General features: G+C 41.0%; 1 protein-coding gene across 16 annotated transcripts in view, besides 1 other annotated feature; it reads left to right on the top strand.

The window, feature by feature from the left end:
• SORCS1 (sortilin related VPS10 domain containing receptor 1) overlaps window positions 1–24,699 on the top strand; it is a 607,476-nt gene that overhangs the window by 301,504 nt on the left and 281,273 nt on the right. The gene's annotated exons all lie outside the window — the stretch shown is intronic.
• Window positions 15,533–15,592: an enhancer, noted in NCBI's record as "active region_3990". NCBI's record gives its function as "activates an Ori minimal core promoter by ATAC-STARR-seq in GM12878 lymphoblastoid cells {active_cell/tissue: GM12878}" and the evidence as "EXISTENCE:reporter gene assay evidence [ECO:0000049][PMID:35858748]".

The following is a 24,699-nucleotide window of genomic DNA, read 5'->3' as shown; positions in this document are numbered from 1 at the left end:
CCTTTAGGAGCACATGAGATTATATCAGGTCGGCCTGGATAATCCAGGATAATCTCCTGATTTTAAGGACAACTGATCAGTAACCACACTTACATCTACAAAGTCCCTTTTGTCATGTCATCTAACCTATTCATTAGGGAAGAACATCTTTAGGAGAGGAGGAGGGAAAATTCTGCCTACTTACACTCACCTACACATGTGGTTAAAAATAACTAAATAATCCCCTAACTGTAATACAATGTAGAGATAAAAAGAGTGTAATATATAATAACTGAATGGATTAAAAATGTATTTTAGTATGTGAGTGTTTAGACATTACACTGCCAAAAGTAATAAAGTTGTCAGAAGAGCTGTGAAGACTGATACAAGTGAGTAGGGTTGGCAAGTTCCGTGAGCAGTGTGGTCATCAGTTATGTGACTTTCTTAAACGGCATGCTCACCATTGCTCACTCTTGGTAAGTTATCAATGAATTTTTTTTTTTTTTTTGATGGAGTCTCACTCTGTCGCCCAGGCTGGAGTGCAGTGGTGCCATCTTGGCTCACTGCAAGCTCTGCCTCCCGGGTTCACGCCATTCTCCTGCCTCAGCCCCCCGAGTAGCTGGGACTACAGGCGCCCACCACCATGTCCGGCTACTTTTTTTTTGTATTTTTAGTAGAGACGGTGTTTCACCGTGTTAGCCAGGATGGTCTCAATCTCCTGACCTCATGATTCGCCAGCCTCAGCTTCCCAAAGTGCTGGGATTACAGGTACGAGTCATTGCGCCCAGGGAAATTTTTTAAAAAAGAATACAGTATTTCCTCACTTACATGGGAGTCACATTCTGTAAACATTAGTATATGTAAAAAATGCAAAAAACCTAGAAATTTTTATATGTAAAATTACATATAAATTTTACACAAAATTACACAAAAACCCAGAGGGACATATAAAAATTTTGTGTGATGACATCAACTTCCTGTCTTAGTCCATTCAGGCTGCTATAAAATATATATATATATATATATATATATATACTAGGTAGTTTATAAAAAACAAATTTTTTTCTCAGTTTTGGAGGCTGGGAAGTTTAAGATCAAGGCACTGGCAGATTTGGTGTCTGGCAAAGGCTCTTTATGGGGTTCATAGATGATATCCTCACATGGCAGAAAGGGGCAAGGCAGCCCCTTAATAAGGGTGTTAATCCCAGTAATGAGGTCTCTGCCCTTATAACCTAATCACCGCCCCAAGGTCTCCAGCTCCTAATACCATTGTATTGGTAATTAGGTTTCAACATATGAATTTTAGGGTGAACACAAACATTCAGAACATAGCATATTCCCAGGCCCCCTGCAGTATGTATATCCCGAATTATTGTGACAAGTTTATAACCTCCCACAAGGAGTCCCCCAGAAGACAGTGGTACCCCAGCTGAGAAACAGTGGCAAGGTGAGGGAATTTTGTAGTATCTGGACTTAAAAAAAAAAAAAAAGCCCTGTCTGCTCTTGGTCCGCTCATAAAAATTTACTACCTTGCCAGAAACAGAGACCTGAAGTCATGTATGGTATGACCTGGCCATTTATACCATGGGGACATTCATAGACTAGGAGTAGGAGTAGAGAAACCAGCAATATTCAATTCACTCTTGGATAGTATGTTAGAGAGATAGTATCGGGTAGAGATTATGACTAAGGACTTTGGAGTCAGACAAACTGACATTTGGAACCCTCCTTACTACTCTGAGAGTTGTTTCCACCCTCTGAAAAGTGGGACACTATGTCTGTAAGAATACCCTGCCAGGTATTATGGAAGAATCTGCCTGCTTTTTTGTGGCATGTCTCCTCCCATTGCCTCTCTTCTCTGCACCACAGAACCAGAATACGGTTCTGCATTTCAAAGGTGATTCATCTGTAGGAGTAATTCCTCACTGAAGCTGTACACTGAGTGTGGCTTCCCCGAGGGACTGGATTCTGTCAGGACCGGCATATTCCCAGATTCTAATCTAGAATTCGAATCCCACAAATCCTAGATACGTAGGTCAAATATTTATTTTATTTCCCACCTGTCACCAAACATTACCCATGTTTTTGCTGGGCCTATATTCAGTTTTTTGTTTTGTTCTGTTTTGAGATGGACTCGGTCTGTCACCCTGATTGGAGTGCAGTGACACAATCATAACTCACTGAGAAACTGGAACTACAGGCATTGCACCACCATGCACAACTAATTTTTTTTTTTGTAGAAACAGGGTCTTTCTATGTTGTGCAGGCTGGTCTGAAACTCCTAGCCTCAAGCAATCCTCCCTGCTCGACCTCCCAAACTGCTAGGAATACAGGCATGAGCTAGTGTGCCCATTCCCACTTTATTCTTTGAATAGAGTTCTACTTGTTCAAAAGTAGACTGATGCTAGCATTTTTCTCTTACAGCCCATTAACCAGCCTGAGTTTGATCCCTGAATTTTTGAGAAGATTTTGTATTGTTCATAATTTGTAGAAAAATCAAGCTGTGGCAAAAGAAAAGTTCTCCCTAAAGATTTTCAGACATTAAAGCACAAAAGAGTTGAAATGTTTTCAGAGGTATAAAAATAACCAGTGATTCTCATTAGCTTCATAATTATCAGAATCATTAGGTAAATGTCTAATTAGTAAAGACTTTATGCTAGGCACTTTACAAAGGAAACAGTACAGGCACAGTCTTTGTCCTCCAGAAGCTTACTCTGAAAAAACCTCTTAATGACATGAAAATGCCCCCTCTTCAGTTATCAGAAGAGAAGGACTGATTAAAGTGGCTATTCATGTTGGTAGTATTTGCAAGAGACACGAGAAGTTATATTGTGACATGGGAAAGAAGTTTAGAGCAGAGCTAACAACATAAATGATATAATAAAGAGCTGAAGACTGAACGAATTAAGTAATGAGTCCTGGAGACTTCTTTCCCAAGCAATCTCTGAACAGGATTTTAGGAGATCATCACTCATTTTGAGAAAATTAGGCTCATGGACTCTGATGCCAGACCACTTGGGCATCCTGTCCGTCATTCCACTGCCACCCACTGTGTAGATTTGACATACAATCCACATTACTTACCATTTTTCTTCTGGGAAGCAGCCAGAGAGGGCATTCCCTAGAGCAACCAGACTGGCATTAATCTCCAGCAGTGTGCTTTCATTTCACTTCCTGTAAAAATCCATCTCTAGATCCTGTGCTTGACCTAAGGTTAGGTATCAGAGGAACAAAATACTGATTCTCATTTCACATCGCAATTGTTGCTATAAATAGTGAATTTTATAACCTGGTAGATGCAAGGGATGCAGAGTGATGGATGAGCTTCTGCTGATTAAAAAAAAAGTTCATAACTTCTAACTACAGTTCAAGTTGAAGCAAACAATAATAAAGCACAAATAATGCACTGCTGAATTATTCATGTTGATTATAAAAACCGCGCCCTCAATGTCAGAGAAGCTGCATTCCTTACAGTGTATCTTTAACCAGAATGCTTCAGCAATTGCCTGGTTCTAAGTGAAAAGGAAGGTTCAGGCACTGAATCAGAATTATGCTGAAGAAGAGCTTAAATTGAAGAAATATTAAAAGTCATAACTAGAAAATATAAATAATAAATAGAAATTATTTTGATTTATAAATCAAAATAATTATAAATGACTATATTTTGAGGCAAATGATAACTGATCATAGCCTATACTCCTAACTGAAAAAATAAAGCCCAGAAATGACTCCTAGCATAAGTCCCTAGTCCAAGCCATCAGTGTCACTTAACTGGCCTCCCTACTTTTTCTACTTCTGTCACTCTGTATTTTATTCAGCAGCCAAAATTATCCCTCAAAAATGTTGTCAGAAATAATACCATCAAAAAGTGGGCAAATGACATGAACAGACATTTCTCAAAAGAAGATATACAAATAGCTAATAAACATGAAAAAATGCTCAATATCACCAGGGAAATGCAAATTACAGCCATGGTAAGATAACACCTTACTCCTGCAACAATGGCCATTATTAAAAAGTCAAAAAACAATAGATGTTAGTATGAATATGGTGAAAGGGGAACGCTTATACACTGCTGGTGGGAATGTAAATTTGTACAACCTCTATGGAAAACAGTATGGAGATTCCTTAAAGAACTGAGAGTAAATCTACCATTCAATCCAGCAATCCCACTACTGAGTATCTACCCAAGGGAAAATAAGTCATTATATGAACAAGATACCTGAACATGTATGTTTATTGCAGCTCAATTCACAATTGCAAAGACATGGAACCAACATAAGTGCCCACTGACCAACGAATGGATAAAGAAAACGTGGTATATATACATCCTGGGATACTATTCAGCCATAAAAAGGAAGGAAACAATATCTTTTGTGGCAACTTGAATAGAGCTTGAAGCCATTATTCTAAGTGAAGTAACTCAGGAATGGAAAATCAAATACCGTTTGTTCTCACTTAGAAGTGGGAGCTGAGCTATGAGTAAGCAAAGACATACAGAGTGATAAAATGGACTCTGGAGACTCAGGAGGAGGAGAGTGGAAGGGGGATGTGGGATAAAAAACTACGTATTGGGTACGATGTACACTACCCAGGTGATGGGTGCACTAAAATCTCAGAATTCACCGCTATATAATTCATCCATGCAACCAAAAATCACTTTTACCCCAAAAGCTATTTAAATAAAATAATACATTAAAAAATAAAAACAAAGCAAAACAAGCAGAAAAAACACAAAAATGTTGTCAGTTCATGATATGTCTTTGCTGAAATCCCTCATATGATTTCTTACTTTACACATAATAAAATCCAAATGTCTTATCCTGTACTCCAATAAAGGCCATACGTGATCTAGCAACTGCCTGCCTCTTTCTAGTCATCACCGTCTGAACTATAAGCATATGACTGTCTTGTGGTTCCTCTAATACATCTTAAAGGCATTTGCACTTGTAGTTTGTTCTGTTTCCAGTGCACAGCCATGTGCCTCCCAGCTTATGTCATCTGCTAGGAGAGGTTTTCCAAGGTCATCAAATGTAAAGTACTGTCACTTTTTACTGCAACACAGTTTTGTTTTCATCTGAGTACATATGTAAACAAGAAAATGTCAACAGTCAGATTGGTTGGATTGATTGTCTCTTATGCTAAAATGCAGGCTCTTGAAGAGTAGGATCCTTGCTTGTTTTATTGAGTATTGTATCCAAAGTAACCAAAACAGTGTCTGTCATATATTGTCCTTAGTTCACTTGGTTTCTTGAGTGATAAGCTCAGTTGTACACACACTTTATTATGAATGTCATAATAATTTGTTTTCTGCATATAATTATGCCACTTTAATGGACTAGATCATTGTTTTCTTTGACTTGTAAGTGACTTCTAAAGCTTCCCTGATCTAGTTCATTCTCCTCACTTAGGATAAAAAACCGAAATCATCCCAGAATGCTGATAATATATAAGATTTAAAAAACCATTTCAGGCACAATGTTGACTGCTATTGTGGGGTCCAGACAGAGTTTTCTGTGGTTATGCAAATCTCCTGGCTCTTAGATGCAGTGAGCTCATTGTATATTAGTAAATATTTATAAAGTACTCTATATTGACTAAATGTTTCACAATCAGGTTGATTAGTAGTAATTCCTCCCAGCAACCTTGTGAGGTCAATCAGCATTTTTAAAGCACAGCCCAGAGAGGTTGGGCAGCTTGCCCAAGGTCACTCAGCAGGTCATTGGCAAAACCTGCATTGGCGACTTCAGAGCCCATTACTGTGACAAGCCCTGGCACTGACTCTTTTTGGAAGGGTGACCCCTGATCGCTTTTCTTGTAAGGTAGGCGTATAAACACTAAATGTTCTGAAGTGAGAGAATTACAAAGGCCTCGAGGTGAAGGAGTTATTGGTGTAATTAGAAATTGGAGCCAGCTATTGAAAATTGAAAATGCTGCCTAATTGAGGTGAATTGGAGGATATATTATTTTTTGAGAGAATTAGAGAAATATAGTTTGAAAAATAGGCATCTAAAAAGCAGGAACGTATGTAGAAAATTAAAGTAGGTGACTTTGGCAGGGGTAATAAATAAGTCATAGGGCCAAAATGGTTTAGGAAGAGTTTATGTAGGCCATGGTATCAGAAAGTCTGTTCTCTAACATTATATGCCACCAATTCACCTTCCTCAAACAGTGTTTTCTGAAGTTTTGTGAAAATGATACCTGGTTTCAAGTATGGAGTATTTCAGTCCTTGAAGCCCAACATGCAAATTACATAGGCCCCACTATTATTAACATGCCCTGCTAAATATCCTCTAGGAATATAAATATCAAGGAAATTATCTTTTCTTTTTTTTTTTTTTTGAGACCGAGTTTTGCTCTTGTTGCCCAGGCTGGAGTGCAGTGGTGCAATCTTGGCTCACAACAACCTCTGCCTCCCGGGTTCAAACAATTCTCCTGCCTCAGCCTTCCTGAGTACCTGAGTAGCTGGGATTACCCATTTATTTCTGGTTTCTCACTCTGTTGCCCAGGCTGGAGTGCAGTGGTGCAATCTCGGCTCATTGCAACCTCTGCCTCCTGGGTTCAAGTGATTCTCCTGCCTCAGCCTCCCAAGTAGCTGGGACTACAGGTGCTTGCCACCACGCCTGGCTAATTTTTTGTATTTTTAGTAGAGATGGGGTTTCACCATATTGGCCAGGCTGGTCTCGAACTCCTGACCTTGTGATCCGCCCACCTCGAACTCCCAAAGTGCTGGGATTACACGTGTGAGCCACCACACCTGGCCAAGGAAATTATGTTAATTTTAAGAAACATGATGCATCTTTACTTTCCATTATTTTCTTTTTTCTTTATGTTTGTTTCTTCCCTTGAGATTTAAGATAAATAGATTCAAGATAATGATAAATTTCTGTCCTATCTAATTTTGTCTTTTGGTACCTCAGATTATATCTCCTGTGTTCCCTGGAAGCAAATTATTATGACTAACCATTGCAACCACAGTAGTAACTGCTTATATTGGTAAAGCTTATTACATGCTGAGAACTTTCTAGGGAGTATCTCGTTTAACTTTTCCAACATTCTTAGGAGAATAGGCATGCCTATCCCTATTTTGCATTTGGGAGCTAAGCTTCCAAGTGTAACTCCAGAGCCATTATTCTATTAAAACCTTAGTAAAGTCATGTTCTCCCCTTTCTCAGAACCCTCCACTGACTTCACATGGTCTGCAAGGCTTATTGTGGTTTAGGCACAGTTATCGTGGTGAATGATCATCTTTGCTACAGCTCTCTTCCTCAGCTACAGACTTTGCCTCAAATATGCTCACCACCTGGTCATAAGTCAGATATCCTGAGCTTGGTCTGACTTGGTGTCCTTGCACTTGATCTTCTCTCTGCCTCTTATATACTTCCTCAACACATGCACCTGGCCCAATTATGTCATTCAGATTTATTCTCAAATGCGTTTCAAGGAGGCCTTCTTTGGCTATGCTATATAAAGTAGTATGCTCCATTTTAACTATCTATTTTCCATAACTGATTCCTTTTTCTTCATGGTATGTACCATCCCTTTAAAAATTACTTATATGTTTGTTTATTGTTCATACTCTATTTCCACTAGAATTTAAGCTCCATGAGGACATCAATTTTGTATTTTATTTTCTTTATTTGTTTCATTGACAGTGGCCAGAACAAGTCATGGAACATGGTAGACTCTCCATAAATAATTGTTGAATAAATAAATGAACTATCACACTACATTGCTACACCAAGTTTTTTTTAACTTTAATTTTAGGTTGGGGGGATACATGTGAAGCTTTGTTGCATAGGTAAACTTATGTCATGGGGGTTTGTTGTACAGATTATTTCATCACCCAGATATTAAGCCAAGTAGGCAATTGTTGTTTCTTCTGTTCCTCTCCCTCATCCCCCACTCCACCTTCAATTACACCCCAGAATCTATTATTCCCTTGTTGGTGTTCATGAGTGCTCATCATTTAGCTCCCACTTATGAATGAGAACATGGGGTATTTGGTTTTCTGTTCTTGTGTTAGTTTCCTAAGAATGATAGCCTCCATCTCTATTCATGTTCCCCTAAAAGACATGATCTTGTCCTTTTTGATGGCTGTATAGCATTTAATGGTGTATGTGTACCACATTTTCTTTATCCAGTCTGTAGTTGGTGGGCATTTAGGTTGATTCCATGTCTTTGCTATCGTGAATTGTGCTGTAATGAACATTCACATGCATGTGTCTTTATGGTAGAATGATTTGTATTCCTCCAGTAATGGGATTCCCAGTAATGGGATTGCTGGGTGGAATGGTAGTTCTGGTTTTAGCTCCTTGAGGATGAGGGAAATGCTAGTTCTGTTTTTAGCTCTTTGAGGAATCGCCATACTGCTTTCCACAACGGTTGAACTAGTTTACACTCCCACCAATAGTGTATAAGTGTTCCCTTGTCTTTGCAACATTGCCAGCATCTGTTATTTGTTGACTTTTTAGTAATAGCCATTCTAACTGGTGTGAGATGTTATCTCATTGTGGTTTTGATTATATTTCTCTAATGATCAATGATATTGATCTTTTTTCATATGCCTGTTGGCTGCATGTATGTCTTCTTTTGAGAAGTGTCCATTCATGTCCTTTGCCCACTTTTTAATGGGGTTGTTTTTCTCTTATATACACTTGTTTAAGTTTCTTATAGATAATGGATATTAGACCTTTGTCAGATGCATAGTTTGCAAATATTTTCTCCCATTCTGTAGGTTATCTGTTTATTCTGTTGATAGTTTTGTTCTTTCTTTTCTTTTTTGCTGTGAAGAAGCTCTTAAGTTTGATTAGATTCAATTTGTCAATGTTTGCTTTGGTTGCAATAGGTTTTGGTGTCTTTGTCATGCAATCTTTGCCTGTTCCTATGTCTAGGATGGTATTGCCTAGGTTGTCTTCCAAGATTTCTATAGTTTCGAGTTGTTCATTTAAGTCTTTAATCCATCTCGAGTTGATTTTTATATACAGTCTAAGGAAGGGGTCCAGCTTCAATCTTCTGCATATGGTTAGCCAGTTATTCCAGCACCATTTATTGAATACAAAGTCTTTTCCCTATTGTTTGTTTTAGTCAACTTTGTGGAAGATCAGATGGTCATAGGTGTGTGGCTTTATTTCTGGGTTCTCTATTCTGTTCCATTGGTCTATGTGCCTGTTTTTGTACCAGTACCACACTCTTTTGGTTACTGTAGCCCTGTGGTATAGTTTATAGCCAGGAAATGTGGTGCCTCCAGCTTTGTTCTATTTGCTTAAGATTGCCTGGGCTATTTGAGCCCCTTTTTTGATTCCATATGAATTTTAAAATAGTTTTTTCTATGAAGAGTATCTTTGGTAGTTTGATAAGAATAACATTGAATCTGTAGGTTGCTTTGGCCAGCATGGACATTTCAAAGATGTTGATTCTTCCTATCCATGAGCATGGGATGTTTTTCCATTTGTTTGTGTCTTTTCTGATTTCTTTGAGTAGTATTTTGTAATTTTCATTCTAGAAATATTTCACCACCTTGGTTAGCCGTATTTCTAGGTATTTTATCCTTTTTGTGGCAGTTGTGAATTGGATTGTGTTCCTGATTTGGCTTTCTGCTTGGTTGTTGTTAGTGTATAGGAATGCTAGTGATTTTTGTATATTGATTTTGTATCCTGAAACTTTGCTGAAGTTGTTTATCAGCTGAAGGAGCTTTGGGGCCAAAATTATGGGGTTTTCTACGTATAGAATCATGTCATCTTCAAACAGCGACAGTTTGACTCCCTCTTTTCCTATTTGGATGCCCTCTGTTTCTTTCCCTTGCCTGATTTCTCTGGCTAGGACATCCAATAACATGTTTAATAAGAACAGTGAGAGAGGGCATCCTTGTCTTGTGCTGGTTTACAAGGGGAATGTTTTCAGCTGTTGCCCATTCAGTATGATGTTGGCTGTGGGTTTTTCATATATAGCTCCTATTATTTTGAGGTATGTTCCTTCAATACCTAGTTTATTGAGAGTTTTTAACATAGAAGACGTTGAATTTTACCAAAAGTCTTTTCTGCATCTATTGAGATAATCCTGTGGTTTTTGTCTTTAGTTCTATTTATGTGATGAATCACATTTATTGATTTGCCTGTGTTGAACCAAGCTTGTATCCTGGATGTGAAGCCTACTTGATCATGGTGGATTAACTTTTGCTGTGCTGCTGGATTCAGTTTGCAAGTATTTTGCTTAGGATTTTTCCATTGATATTCATCGAAGATATTGGCCTAAAATTTTCTCTTTTTTTGTTGTGTGTCTGCGAGGTTTTGGTATCAGGATGATGTTAGTCTCATGGAATGAGTTGAGAAGCAGTCCCTTCTCTTCAGTTTTCTGGAGATGTTTCAGTAAGAATGGTACCAGCTCTTACTTGTATATCTGGTAGAATTTGGCTGTGAATCCATCTGTTCCTGGGCTTTTATTGGTTGGTAGACTGTTTATTGCTGATTCAATATCAGAGCTTGTTATTGTTCTGTTCAGGGAATCAATTTCTTTCTGGTTCATTCTTAGGAGGGTGTATGTGTCCACAAATTTGTCCATCTCTTCTAGGATTTCTAGTTTGTATACATAGAGGTGTTCATAGTAGTTTCTGATGGTTATTTTTATTTCTGTGGGGTCGGTGGTAGCACCTCCCTCATCATTTCTCATTTTGTATATTTGGATCTTCTCTCCTTTCATCTTTATTAGTCGAGCTAGTGGCATGTCTGTCTTACTAATGTTTTCAAAAAACAAACTCCTGGACTCATTGATCTTTTGAATAGTTTTTCATGTCGTGATTTTCTTTAGTTCAGCTCTGATTTTGGTTATTTCTTGCCTTCTGCTAGCTTTATGGTTGATTTGTTCTTGCTTCTCTTTCAGTTGTGATGTTAGATTGTTAATTTGAGATCTTTCTAAGTTTTTGATGTGGGCATTTAATGCAGAAATTAATGTCTTTCTTAACACTACCCTAGCTGTATCACAAATATCCTGGTATATTGTATCTTTGTTCTCATTAGTTTCAAAGAACATCTTCATTTCTGCCTTAATTTCATTATTTACCCAAAAGTGATTCAGGAGCATGTTGCATAATTTCCATGTAATTTCATGGTTTTGAGCAATTTTTTTAGTCTTCTACATTTATTGCACTGTGGCCTGAGAGTGTGTTTGGTATGAATTTGGTTCTTTTCCATTTGCCAGGGATTGTTTTATGTCCAGTTATGTGGTCGATTTTAGAGTTATGCACCATATGACGATGAGAAGAATGTATATTCTGTTGTTTTTGGGTGGAGAGTTCTGTAGAGGTCTATCAGATTGATTTGGTACAATATTGAGTTCAGGTTCTGAATATCCTTGTTAATTTTCTCCCTCAATGATCTAATACTGTCAGTGGGGTGTTGAAGTCTCCCGCTATTATTATGTGGGAGTCTGTGTTTCTTTGTAGATCTCTAAGAACTTGCTTTATAAATCTGGGTACTCCTGTGTTGGGTGTGTATATATTTGGGATAGTTAGGTCTTCTTGTTGAATTGAACCCTTTACTATGATGTAATGCCCTTCTTTGTCTTTTTTGATCTTTGTTGGTTTAAAATCTATTTTGTCTGAAATTAGGATAGCAATATCTGCTTTTTTCTGTTTCCTATTTGATTTTCCTCCATTTCTTTATTTTGAGCCTATAGGTGTCATTACATGTGAGATGGGTCTCTTGAAGACAGCATTTCATGGGATCTTGCTTTTTCATCCAGCTTGACACTCTGTGCCTTTAAAGTGGGGCATTTAGCCAGTTTACATTCAAGGTTGGTATTGATATGTGTGGATTTGATCCTGTCATTGTGTTGTTAGCTGGTTATTATGCTGGTTTGTTTTTGTGGTTGCTTTATACTGTTACTGGTCTGTGTATTTAAGTGTGTTTTTCTATTAGCTGGTAGTGGTATTTCCTTTCTATACTTAGTGTTCCATTGCTCACTCAACATTTGCTTATTTGAAAAGGAACTTATTTCTCCTTTACTTAGGAAGTTAGTTGGGCCAGATATGAAATCTGTGGTGAGGAATTTTTTTTTCTTTAAGAATGTTGAATATGGCCGGGTGCGGTGGCTCACGCCTGTAATCCCAGCACTTTGGGAGGCCAAGGCGGGCGGATCACGAGGTCAGGAGATTGAGACCATCCTGGCTAACACGGTGAAACCCATCTCTACTAAAAATACCAGAAATTAGCCGGGCGTGGTGGTGGGTGCCTGTAATCCCAGCTACTTGGGAGGCTGAGGCAGGAAAATGGCATGAACCTGGGAGGCAGAACTTGCAGTGAGCCGAGACTGCACCACTGCACTCCAGCGTGGGCGACAGAACGAGACTCCGTTTCAAAAAAAAAAAAAAATTTAATATAAGCTTCCAATCTGTCCTAGCTTATAAGGTTTTAGCTGAGAGGTCTACTGTTAGCCTCATGGGATTCCCTTTGTAGGTGACCTACCTTTTTTCTCTGGCTGCCTTTAACATTCTTTTTTTCCATTTTGACCTTGGAAAATCTGATGATTATGTGTTTTGTGGATGACCTTCTGGTGTAGAATCTTGCAGAGATTCTCTGTATTTCCTGAATTTGACTTTTGGCCTCTCTAGCAAAGTTGGGGAAGTTTTCATGGACAATACAAAAACCAGCCAGCTCAGCCTGGTTAAGAACTCTTGTTGGAGGAGTACTGGTGTGGTGACTTGTAGGACATATGACACTCTGGCCACTTGAGTTACGAGAGGCTTTGCATTGGTTTTTTCTCATCTCTGCATGTGGGTGTTCCTTTAAGTGCAGTGTAGATTAAGTACAGTCAATAGATGTCTTTTCTAAATGTTCTCACAGGGTCGAGGTTTTCTGCAGCGTTTTTATTTGAAGCTGACTTCTTTTAGCAAGTGGGGTTTTTAGCAAGATATTTTTGGTGCTGAGGCTTTGAGGTATGATCCAGTAGGTGGTGCTTAGGTGTATTTGTCAGTTGGTAGATCCTTGCTCGGTTGTGTGGCTTCCCCATGTTTCCTCTCCTTTGCAGCCTTGTTCCCTCTCAGTGCTCTGAAAGTGTGGGCTTTTCTCCCCCTTGAGTTCTGGCTGCAGATCGCAGCTTGGCACTCTTGGGCTGCCCACTGCAGCTCTGGGGAAATCTCAGGGTTTATGTTCCTTCCCTAACTTGGAGATAGCAGAGGAAGAGACCTTAGTAGTGGTGTGGCTAAAGGTCTTTTGCATGTCTCCTGGGGACTCTACCCCAGAGAGATGCAGGTCAGCAGTCGCTCAGTGTAATCAGCTCAGGATAGCGGGTCTGTGCGATGGGCCCAACCTGCAGGTTCCCTGTCTGGTAATGAGTGGGGTTGGAGGGGATCCATGGGAGATGGAGTGACCTCCTCTTCTTGGGTTGACTGCAGCTTGTTGGTGGTGTGGATAAGGCACTTAGGGTCTTTGCTCTTTTGTTTGTTGGAGGGTAGCAAGGGCAGTTCCACTGCAGAGTCAGTGGCATAGAGGCTTTCAGTTACCCCTGGGGGCTCTGTCCAGGAAGTTACAGAGCTGCTATTGGCTCAATAGCCCTAGTCGGGGGTGGCCAGTGAGGAGATATGGGAACAGGCATCCACATAGTCTGGCGACTTTTTTTTTTTTTTTTGAGACGGAATCTCATTCTGTCACCCAGGTTGGAGTGCAGTGGCGTGATCTCAGCTCACTGCAACTTCCGCCTCCCAGGTTCAAGTGATTCTCCTGCCTCAGCCTCCTGAGTAGCTGGGATTACAGGTGCATGCCACCACGCCTGGCCAATTTTTGTATTTTCAGTAGAGATGGAGTTTCACCACGTTGGCCAGGCTGGTCTTGAACTCCTGACCTCAGGTGATCTGCCTGCCTGGGCCTCCCAAACAGTCTGGCCACTTTTTATTTATTTATTTTTATTTTTATTTTATTTTATTTTATTTATTTTTTTGAGATGGAGTCTTGCTCTCTCGCCCAGGCTGGAGTGAAATGGCACAATCTTGGCTCACTGCAACCTCCGCCTCCCAGGTTCAAGCGTTCTCCTGCCTCAGTCTCCTGAGTAGCTGGGATTACAGGTGCCCGCTGCCACGCCTGGCTAATTTTTTGTATTTTTAGTAGAGATGGGGTTTCACCATGTTCCCCAGGCAGGTCTTGAACTCCTGAGCTCAGGCAATCCACCCACCTAGGCCTCCCAAAGTGCTAGGATTACAGGCATGAGCCACCATGCCTGGCCCAGTTTGGCCACTTTTTAATAGGGCTGCTGTGTGGTATGTTGGGGGTCCGCTCCAGTTCCTAGTCAACTTGGGTTTTCCAGTACCTGGAGGGATCAACAGCGAAGGCTGCAAAACCACAAACATGGCTGCCTGCCCCTCCCTCTGGGAGCTCTGTCCCAGGAAGGTATGGACCCATTGCCAGCTCAAATGCACCTGTAGGAGGTAGCTGGAGATCCGGGTTGGGAGGCCCCACACAGTGAAGAGGAACTGGATCAGGGACCCGCTTAAAAAGCAGTCTGGCCATGTTTTTGTATAGCAGCTGTCATCACATTTTTGTATAGCAGCTGTGCTGTGCCAGGGGTCTGATTCAGCCCCTGGTCACCTATGTCTCTCCAAAGCCCAAAGGGCAGGACAGCTAAGTCACCAAAACAGCAAAGTTGGTGGCCCACCCCTCCCTCTGGGAGCTGTCTCAGGGAGGTTTGAAACCTCTGTTGGCCAGTGAACACCACTGAGGGTGGCTGGAGACCCTGGTTTGGGAGGCCCCACCCAGTGAGGAGGAACAGGATCAGGGACCTTCTTTAAAAAGCAGTCTAGTCACGTTTTCATAGAGCAGTTGTGCTGTTCTGGAGATCCACTTCAGCCCCTGGTTACCTTGGTCTTTCCAAAGCCCGAAGGCTGAAAAAGCTAAGTCTGCCACACAGCCAATATGGCAACCCCTACCCCACCCCCCAACCCTAGGAGCTCCAGCTCAGTGAGGTGCAATTGTTGCTACCAGTGGCTGGCTGGAGTTCCGCATCAGCAGGTCTTATCCTGATGTGTTGTGGGAGTAGGGCCTGAAGATGAATGCTACTCATTCCCCTGGATTCAGCCTTTTCCTGAGGGTGTATATGAGGGTCTAACCTCCTGCTTTGCCAGAGTTTCAGCTGCTTTTGCCGGGAAGCTCAGAAAGCCCGAGTATCTAAGGTTCCCACGTCTCTGCATGTGCTCGAGTGGCTGCTCTGCTAAGCCCCCACTTAGCTCTGTGTGTTAGACTAAAGGCCATGGTGGAGTGGGTTCACATGGGGATCTTCTGACTCGAGGGTTGCAAAGATCCACGGGAGAAGCGTGGGTTCCCAGAGTCACACACTCACCCGCTGCTTCCCTGGGCGGGGGAGGTTACCCTGGCTTTGTGTTGCTCCCTGGTGGACCGTCATTCTGCCTTGCTTTTCTCTGTTCTCCGTGGACTGAGTTGTTCTCTTGATTAGTCCCAATGTGAGCACCTGGTTGTTTCAGTTGAATATGTATTTACTCACTACTTTCATTTTTCTCCATGACAGCCAAGCACACTACCTGTTTCTAGTGAGCCAACTTTAGATTTTTTTCTATACTAAGTTTCTAATAATTGAATTAACTTCACACAGGCTACATACTGTGCGGGTTTTGAAGAATCAAAGTCTTGGGCTTTGGGTGAACATTTTCCAGCATCTGTTACTGGCTGTTCAGGTCTAGCCTTTGCCACAGAAAGAACCCAAGCCAAGAAGAATCTGAGTGTTTTCGTCTACACAGTGTTCATCTCAAAGCATTCAAGAATCCAGGGAAGGGACTCTGGAAAGATTGTGAGATGGGACTGGCAGCTTTTCCTGTATTACTTTGCTTTTTTTTTTTTTTAAGGAAAATCTGAAGGCAATGGGAATCTGGCAATTCTCTTGGGACTTGTGGGCAAATGTCAGTGTGTCTAGTGTGATGGTGCATATTAGAGCGCCACCCTCTGTCAGCTCTACCATCCAGATTTTGTGAAACAGATATTGCCTGTGAGTTGGTTGGGAATCACTACATGCAGACTGGAGGAATAGAGATCAGTGACTGAAGGGGATCTTGGCAAAAAAAAAAAAAAATCATCTCTATTTCATGAGGGATGCTGGAATGCATTCTCTGTAAGCACTTTTTTTTTTTTTTTTGAAATGGAGTCATGCTCTGTTGCCCAAGCTGGAGTACAGTGGTACGATCTCAGCTTACTGCAACCTCTGCCTCTTGGGTTCAAGTGATTCTCTTGCCTCAGTGTCCTGAGTAGCTGAGATGACAGGTGTCTACCACCACACCCAGATAATTTTTGTACTTTTACTACAGACAGGGTTTCACCATGTTGGCCAGGCTGGTCTTGAACTCCTGACCTCAAGTTATCTGCCCCCTCTTGGCATCCCAAAGTGCTGGGATTATAGGTGTGAGTCACCGTGCCCAGCCCTCTGTAAGCATTTCATATAATATTTTTATTTTTAATGTTCTCTTAGACCTTGCCTCTTGCCCAAATGTAACTACAGTTTTCAGCTGGGTATGATTCTGAAGTGTAGCAGGACACAGATTTTTACATTTGTAGCCCTCTTTGTTTGTTTCTGTTTTGTTTGTTTGTTTGGGGGGAAATCAACTTCTAAAGAAATATTATCAGATTTTTTCTTACAGTATTAGCTAATTCTAAAATGGATAGACTTTACAAAATTTTTTTAATCGACGAGTTGAAGGTGCCTTTGCATATTTGACAATGTATAATTCTAAGAAATATCTTACCATGAGAATCAGAAAACCTGGATTCTTTTCATGACTTTGGTCTCAACTAAATGCTTGACTTACTTTAATCTAAGTCTCAGCTACTTCATCTGCAGAATCAGAATGCTGAAACTTTTTTTTTTTTTTTTTTTTTTTTTTTTGTAGAGACAGGGTTTCACCGTGTTAGCCAGGATGGTCTTGATCTCCTGACCTCATGATCCGCCTGTCTCGGCCTCCCAAAGTGCTGGGATTACAGGCGCGAGCCACCGCGCCCAGCCAAACTTTTTATTATATGAAAACTATTTTATTGATCCTATGAAATTGTATGAAAGTGTGAAACAGTTAATAAGGAAGGTAAACTGTGTGTGTTGGGTCGGGGGTGAAATGGAGAACAGGTGTTTTAATGAGGACTAACTTGGGCGTAAACTCTTCTGCCACTTAAAAAAAACATTGAAGAGAGATGAGATTATTTCTAAATGTCATTGAAGCTCTAATTTTCTAGGATTTTTAGGTTTCCTCAAAGTAATGGGTAGGGACAAAATAAATGGTGATATTAAAAGACATTGTAATGATATGCACAAATAGGCAAGCATATGTTTTCTGGATAGCATCAATTATTTCACCCTTCAAGAAATTAAGTAGAAAACAGACAGGATGTAATACACAAAGAAGATGTGCGTTCACCCTGACACTCTGACCCTGAATGTCTCCAGTGATTTGGGGATGATATTTATCCATAAGTTTAACTTTTCACGTGTGTAATAGGTTTCACTATAGATGTTCAGTTCCCTAAAACTCCCTGATACTGGAATTCTTAAATGTTAGAGTCAAAGCTAGAGATCAGCTGGTCCAGTTGTCTCCAATTACAGATGAGGAATTGATTTACTCATTTTTTTACCTCATTCAACCTTTGGAAAACTAAAGGTAACAAAAGCTCAGTTAAACATGTATCTTATGAGACTGAAAATCTCATCATCTATGGTGAAGAAAAGAAAGAAACCTAACAAGCTGACATTATACTATGACACCTAGAGGACAGCTTACACTTTTTTTTGAGATGGAGTCTCGCCCTGTCACCAGGCTGGAGTGCAGTGGCACAATCTTGGCTCACTGCAGCCTCTGCCTCCCAGGTTCAAGTGATTCTCCTGCCTCAGCCTCCCGAGTAGCTGGGACTACAGGTGCATGCCACCACGCCTGGCTAATTTTTGTATTTTAGTAGAGATGGGGTTGCACCATGTTGGCCAGGATGGTGTTGATCTCTTGACCTCGTGATCCACCTGCCTTGGCATCCCAAAGTGCTTGGATTACAGGTGTGAGGGACTGCGCCCGGCCAATTGAGGGTATTTGAACCATTTTAAATTTAAGGGATCAAGTAAATTCCATTGTCACTGCTATATGTTTCGTAGCTTGTCCTTCTAGAATACATTTTTCATAATTTGCATATGTATGTTTTGATGGAAAAGCTAGGAGAGCCAAGTAACATTGACTTCATTTGGTAAGTATTTTATTTATTTTCGCATATTCTTTTTTTTTTTTTTTTTTAAGGCGGAGTCTCACTCTGTCCCCCAGGCTGGAGTGCAGTGGTGCGATCTTGGCTCACTGAAACTTCTGCCTCCTGGGTTCAAGCAGTTCTCTTGCCTCAGCCTCCCAAGTAGCTGGTACTACAGGCACATGCCACCATGCCTGGCTAATTTTTTTTGTATTTTAGTAGAGACAAGGTTTCACCTTGTTGCCCAGGCTGGTTGCGAACTCCTGAGCTCAGGCAATCTGCCTGCCTCGGCCTCCCAAAGTGCTGGGATTACAGGCATGAGCCACTGCACCTGGCCTATTTTTGCATATTCTTAAGTCGGGACAATAACACTGCGTCTTCAGCCAACTGAGTACCGTGTGAGAAGAGAGTGAAACACATTGGCAGAATTGGAGCTCCAATTCATTTTCTAACAAGGGCTCTAAGATAAAGGACGTGTGTATGTATGCCATTTCATTTCAAGTACAGTGCATTCACAACTGGGGGGAAGTCTGCAGTAATCCCTGTTACCTTTAATACAGTTGAACTAGTTTACTAGAAGCTTGGATTAAGGATCCTCATTCTAATAAAAAATTGAATTTAGGATGACAACTCGCCAATATTACAAACAGCAGTGGTTCGTTGTTTGGAAGGCAGGTGATGTAAGTTCTGGGAGCTCCATTAGGAAAAATCTATTCTTTTTCAGACACACTGCCATCATTCTACGAATAGTACCCTATTTAAATGGACAATTCACCATATCTCTGTATTAAGCATGCTGACTTTGGAGCCTAACTGCCTGAGTTTGAATCTAGGCCATGTTCATCACTCCTATGTGGCATTGGGCAAGCTGATCATCTTCCTTAAGTCTTGGTCTCCTCATCTGTAAAATGTGGATCATACCAGTACTTAACTCGTGCGATGTTAGAGAACTCAGTGAGGTAATCCTTATGAAGTGCTTAGCCCAGTGTGTGGTATCTTAAGCATTCAATAAATGTTCACTGTTATTCATAAACCGCATAATTCAGGAGTGTAGGGTAATGCAGCCTATGAAGATTTGACCCCAGTGTGATGAAGGATGCTCTACCTGTCAGACTAGAAGTACCTGGAGATTGGGGTTGTATCAAAAGATAGAACATGTCACAAAGCTAAAAAGATAAGTTGCTCTCCTCCCAAATTTATCTTTACCCTTATAACTGACAAATGGATATTTTATTTTCCATAGCTGTATTTATAGACATTTAAACAAACTGATATATAATACATTTTGCATATGCATTTGTATGAGTTCTTCCTTAGTGAGTCACTAATCTCTCTTATATTTATGTCTCATAATTATTCCTACCCAACACAAACTCAGCTGGAAGCCCTGAAGTTTTCTTGCTCCCAAACCCTCCAAAAGGAAATGCAAAACCCAAATGTGAAATTTTTCAAACTGAATTTTCTGGTGATAAAGGAGAACTTTACAGGATAGTGTGTTCGGTTCAACCTAGCAACACTGAGCACCTTCTGGATTGTAAGAAGCAGCTAAATGGTGGAGAGAGATACAGAAGAGTAAGCATAAATGCATTTTGCTCCTAGTAGATGGCCATCTGGTAAGCGAGATCAAACGCATGTAAATGTAATACATGGCAGCATATAAAGGCCAATAAGGAGAGATTCAAATAAATCACATACAGTATAAAGGAGAGAGGCATTCCATTCAGCAGAGGGATGTGAAAAGGTTCAATGAAAGAAGGGATATTGGCCGGTAGTGACTCATGCCTGTAATCCCAGCACTTTGGGAGGCCAAAGTGGGCAGATCACTTGAGGCCAGGAGTTCAAGACCAGCCTGGCCAACATGGTAAAACCCGTCTCTACTAAAAATACAAAAATTACCTGGGCATGGTGGTGCGCACCTGTAGTCCCAGCCACTGGGGAGGCTGAGGCAGGAGAATCGCTTGAGCCCGGGAGGCGGAGCTTGCAGTGAGCCAACATCGCGCCGCCACACTCCAGCCTGGTGACAAAGTGAGACCCAGTCTCAAAAAAAAAGAAAGGATATTTGATTCCAGCCTTGAAGTGTATGAATGAATTGTGATCGGCTGAAAGAAGAGTGAAAGGATAAATTATTGTCTATCCCTGCCTTTAGAAAATGCAGTCTATTAGCACAGACAACTGTGAGCATTGACAACAACGATACAATGCCAGGGAATCTGGGTTGTCATGGAAGAAAGAACAAAGGCTGACTGCTAGTTGATTGGCATGGTCAGGAGTGGCATCCCTGGGAAGAAAACTGTGGAGTAGAATGTTAAAAGATGAGAAGGAATACGTGCCCTATGCCCTCCTCACCAGTACCAGCTTGTCTGCTTAGCAGTGGATATTGCCTTTGCAAAGACATGGAGGTATGAGAGAGGCCGCATCTGTGAGGGGGAGCTGCTAGTAAATTTACCTGGACTACTGCAACAAGTTCTAGCCACAGCAGAAATAGTGATGGCCTGCCCTAGGAATGGCAGTAAGAACTAGAATGGATGGTACATATTGGATACATTGGGCACAGACAACTGTGTGTTTGTATAAGAAGGATGTCATGGACATCATCTAGTGAAGGATAGTACTCCAATTTGCTCCTAAAAAGATGAACAGGAGACCTCTGCTTAAATTACTTTGCCCTTTCTTATGCAAAATAGAGATCCAGGTATCAGGGCCAATGTAAGTTACTTTTATACTCAAAAATAAACCAGCAGACATGTCAGTGGTAAGGGTAACCTACAGCAGAAAAGTCACTGTCTGCACACAACCCCAATCAAATGCACCCAAATTTTTCTTTCCTTTTTTTTTTTTTTTTTTTGAGACAGAGGCTTGCTCTGTCTCCCAGGCTGGAGTGCAGTGGTGCAATCTCGGCTCATTGCCAGCTCCGCCTCCTGGGTTCACACCATTCTCCTACCTCAGCTGGGACTACAGGTGCCTGCCACCACACCCAGCTAATTTTTTTGTATTTTTAGTAGAGACGGGGTTTCCCCTTGTCAGCCAGGATGGTCTCAATCTCCTGACCTCGTGATCCGCCTGCCTCGGCTTCCCCAAGTGCTGGGATTACAGACGTGAGCCACTGCGCCCAGCCAAATGCACCCAAATTTCTTATCTCACCGGATCTGTATGACTAGAAACATCAAGAACACAGAATAAAGATATAATTAGGAGAAGAAAAATGGAACAGACTGCTAGATAGATGAGAACTTCTATCCCTTATTAACATAAAAGTAACATATTTAAAGAATAAAAGCTTTTGATGTGATATTAAAAATTCTGTGATACATGACAGAATGGAAATATTTTTATGTCAATTTTACATGACTTCCCCTTAACCTACTGTTTAATCCCCTTAGCTAATTCTGCAAGTTACGCTGAAAGGTTCAGGGAATCCAGGAAAGAGAGGGAAGCTCATTCAGCTCAGAATGCACCATAATGTCTCGGCAGCACATTTGAATTATATGTTTAGGCTGACAGGCAAACGTATTTCGGGGCAGATTCCTTAGAAAGCAGGAGACAATTTCCTTCAGCTCCACGTCATCGTTTGATGTAGATTGCCTATTATATTCTTGAGGTATTATGAAAAATGGATTTGAAGATATTTTCTTGACAGTGGGTAGACTAGTGGAATCCAGTGACTGTATTTAAAATGTGCAGGGGTTTGTTATAACATGGTAATAGAAATATCAGTTGCACTGACAGGTTAAAAAAAATCTGTCAATGAATGATAATGAAGTTATTTAAATGTCGACTCACTCGCAAACATTTTCCAAACCCTAAATTATTCTCACTGCTTTAACCTCATGCATCCTAAGTTATTAAGGAGCAGAGTCTGTGATGCACCCAATGCGCCCTTGGCTTTCGGAGCTATTTTTATGCCACCAAATGCACTAGGAGCAATGGAAGTGGCTGCTCTTAATGATTTTAAGAAAGAAACAAAACACAGACGCTGCAGCTGCTTGATTTAGAGGTGAACACTGTTCCGCTTTCAGGACATCTTGTTGGCAGTGATTTGAGTAATGCCCTGATGCTTCCTGTGCCCAAGCTTCCCTCTATAGCCTGAGTCTTTGCTTTGTGACCTTGGCAGTATGGCTCTGTGTTTCTGAAATAAGGCATCTTCCGTCTGTGGGGTTTTGGGTAGGGAAGGAGATGGGCAGGATATCTGTATGCTTTCTAAAGCCTTACCGAAGGAGCAGCTTGGCTCATCCCTGGTTCAGTACGTGCCCATTAGGCATTCATTCACCCTTCATGTGGAGAAGCCACCTGATTGTGCCAGCACTGTCCTGGGGACTGGGGATCTGGGGGTGAACAAAGATATGTTCACTGCTTTCAGGGCACTTAGAGTAATCAGGAGATGGGTGCCAGGCAGAGATTTTCTGATCAGAAGGAAGAGAGGTGAACTCCTGGTTTCTGGTCCAGCATGTAAGAAGTTCACAGTTTGTCCATTTTCCTAGCAAGTTAAAAGCTAAAGAAACTGAACAATTAACAACTCTGTTCAGATCATCCTACAAGTGAAGTCACAGGACAAATGCTGTCCCCCGAATTGGAAAGACCAACAGTCAGACACAGCAAATCACAATTTACCTGAGCAGAAACTCAACAAGCAGAAACTTCCACAGGAACCAGTGCTAAGTTACAAAAACTTAAACAGTAGTTGATGGTTTGCAGGAGGCTCAGTGTGGACATGTCTGAGAGTTAAGAACTTCGTGGGGACCTAATCAGAGAGGCCCTCATACTTTTGTGAGTTTTACCTCCAGGAGCTTTACCAGCTCCCCACAGTGACAACTGGTGGGGGAACTTACCTTCGTACTTCCAGCAGGGAGAGGGCAAAAGTAACCATTTTGAAATACGCCAGAGCATTCTGTCTTAACAAGACCTGCCCTCAGGAGAAACTAGTTAACAGAGCCTCACCTGCTGGGGATCTGTCAGACCATAACTGACTAGGGGGAAGGGAAATAAGCAACTGCAACTTCCTCTAGCTATTATGTTCCACCTAAGCAGGGAAGAAATGTGAGAAGCACTGGTAAAGTTCACATTCCAGGGGCAAAGACTCCCAAAAAATCTGAGAGTTAATCATAGAACTAAAGAATGTTTTGCCTGGCTGGGCGGGGTGGCTCACGCCTGTAGTAATCCCAGCATTTTGGGAGGCCGAGGTGGGTGGATCACCTGAGGTCAGGAGTTCGAAATCAGCCTGGTCAATATGGTGAAACCTTGTGTCTACTAAAAATACAAAAATTAGCTGGACGCGGTGAGGCATGCCTGTAATCCCAGCTACTCAGGAGGCTGAGGCTGGAGAATAGCTTGAACCAGGGAGGCTGAGGTTGTAGTGAGCTGAGATTGCACCACGGCACTCCAGAATGGGTGACAGAGCGAGACTCTGTCTCAAAAAAAAAAAAAAAATGTTGTGTCTCCCTCTTCGCTTCCCCGTATTACCATCACACAACTAAAGGCCTATTGACTATGGTTCCTTTTACCTAGTACCTCATGTCAGCTGTTCAGGCATTCTAAGAGGCAAACAATCCAGTTTCTAAAGATTAAACAAGCATCACAACCAGAGTCATATATGATAGGAATATCAGAATTAGAAAAACCGATAATTTTTATAAATGTATGATCAACATGCTAAGGGCTTTAATAGAAAAAGCAGACAACATGGAAGAACAGATGGATAATGTCATCAGAGAGATGGAAATTCTAAGAAAAGATCAAGAAGAAATGCTAGAGATGAAAACCATGTAATAGAAATGAAGAATGCCTTTGATGAGCTCATTGGTAGACTGGACATGGCTGAGAAAAGAATCTCTGAAATTGATGATGCCTCAACAGAAACTTCCAAAACTTAAAAAAAGACCATCGAAGTGCAAATACAGAGCAAGAACTGTGGGGCAACTACAAAAGTGTAATATATGTATAGTGGGAATAACAGAAGGGAAAGAAAGAGAAAGAAACAAGCAATGTATGAAGCAATGATAACTGAGAATTTCTGCAAAATAATGTACCAAACCTCAGATCTAGAAAACTCAGAGAACACTAAGCAGGATAAATGTCAAAAAACAAAGCAACAACCACAAAAACCATCATAACCCCACATAGGTATATCATATTCAAAATTCAGATAATCAAAGATTTAAAAAAAACTTTTTTAAGGCAGAATGGGGAACACCTACCTGTAAAGAGGCACAGATGAAAAATACATCTGACTTCTCAGATCTATACAGGCAAGAAGAGAGTGGGATGAAATATTTAAAGTGCTGAGAGGAAAAAATAATGGAAAACATCAAGAATTCTGTACCCTGCAAAACTATCTTTCAAAAGTGAAGGAGAGATAAAGACTTTTCTCAGACGGACAAAAGTTGAGGAAGTTTGTTACTGGTAGACCTGCTTTGAAATAAATGTTAAAAGAAGTTCTTCAGAGAGAAGGAAAATGATACAGGATAGAAACTCAAGTCTATGTAAGGAAAAGAAGAGCATCAGAATGAATAAGTGAATGTAC

The sequence above is a fragment of the Homo sapiens genome, chromosome 10 (assembly GCF_000001405.40).
Source record: "Homo sapiens chromosome 10, GRCh38.p14 Primary Assembly".
NCBI classification, from domain to species: Eukaryota; Metazoa; Chordata; class Mammalia; order Primates; family Hominidae; genus Homo; species Homo sapiens.
The sequence above is the reverse complement of the archived record's forward strand: the minus strand, read 5'-3'. Positions and strand labels throughout refer to the sequence as shown.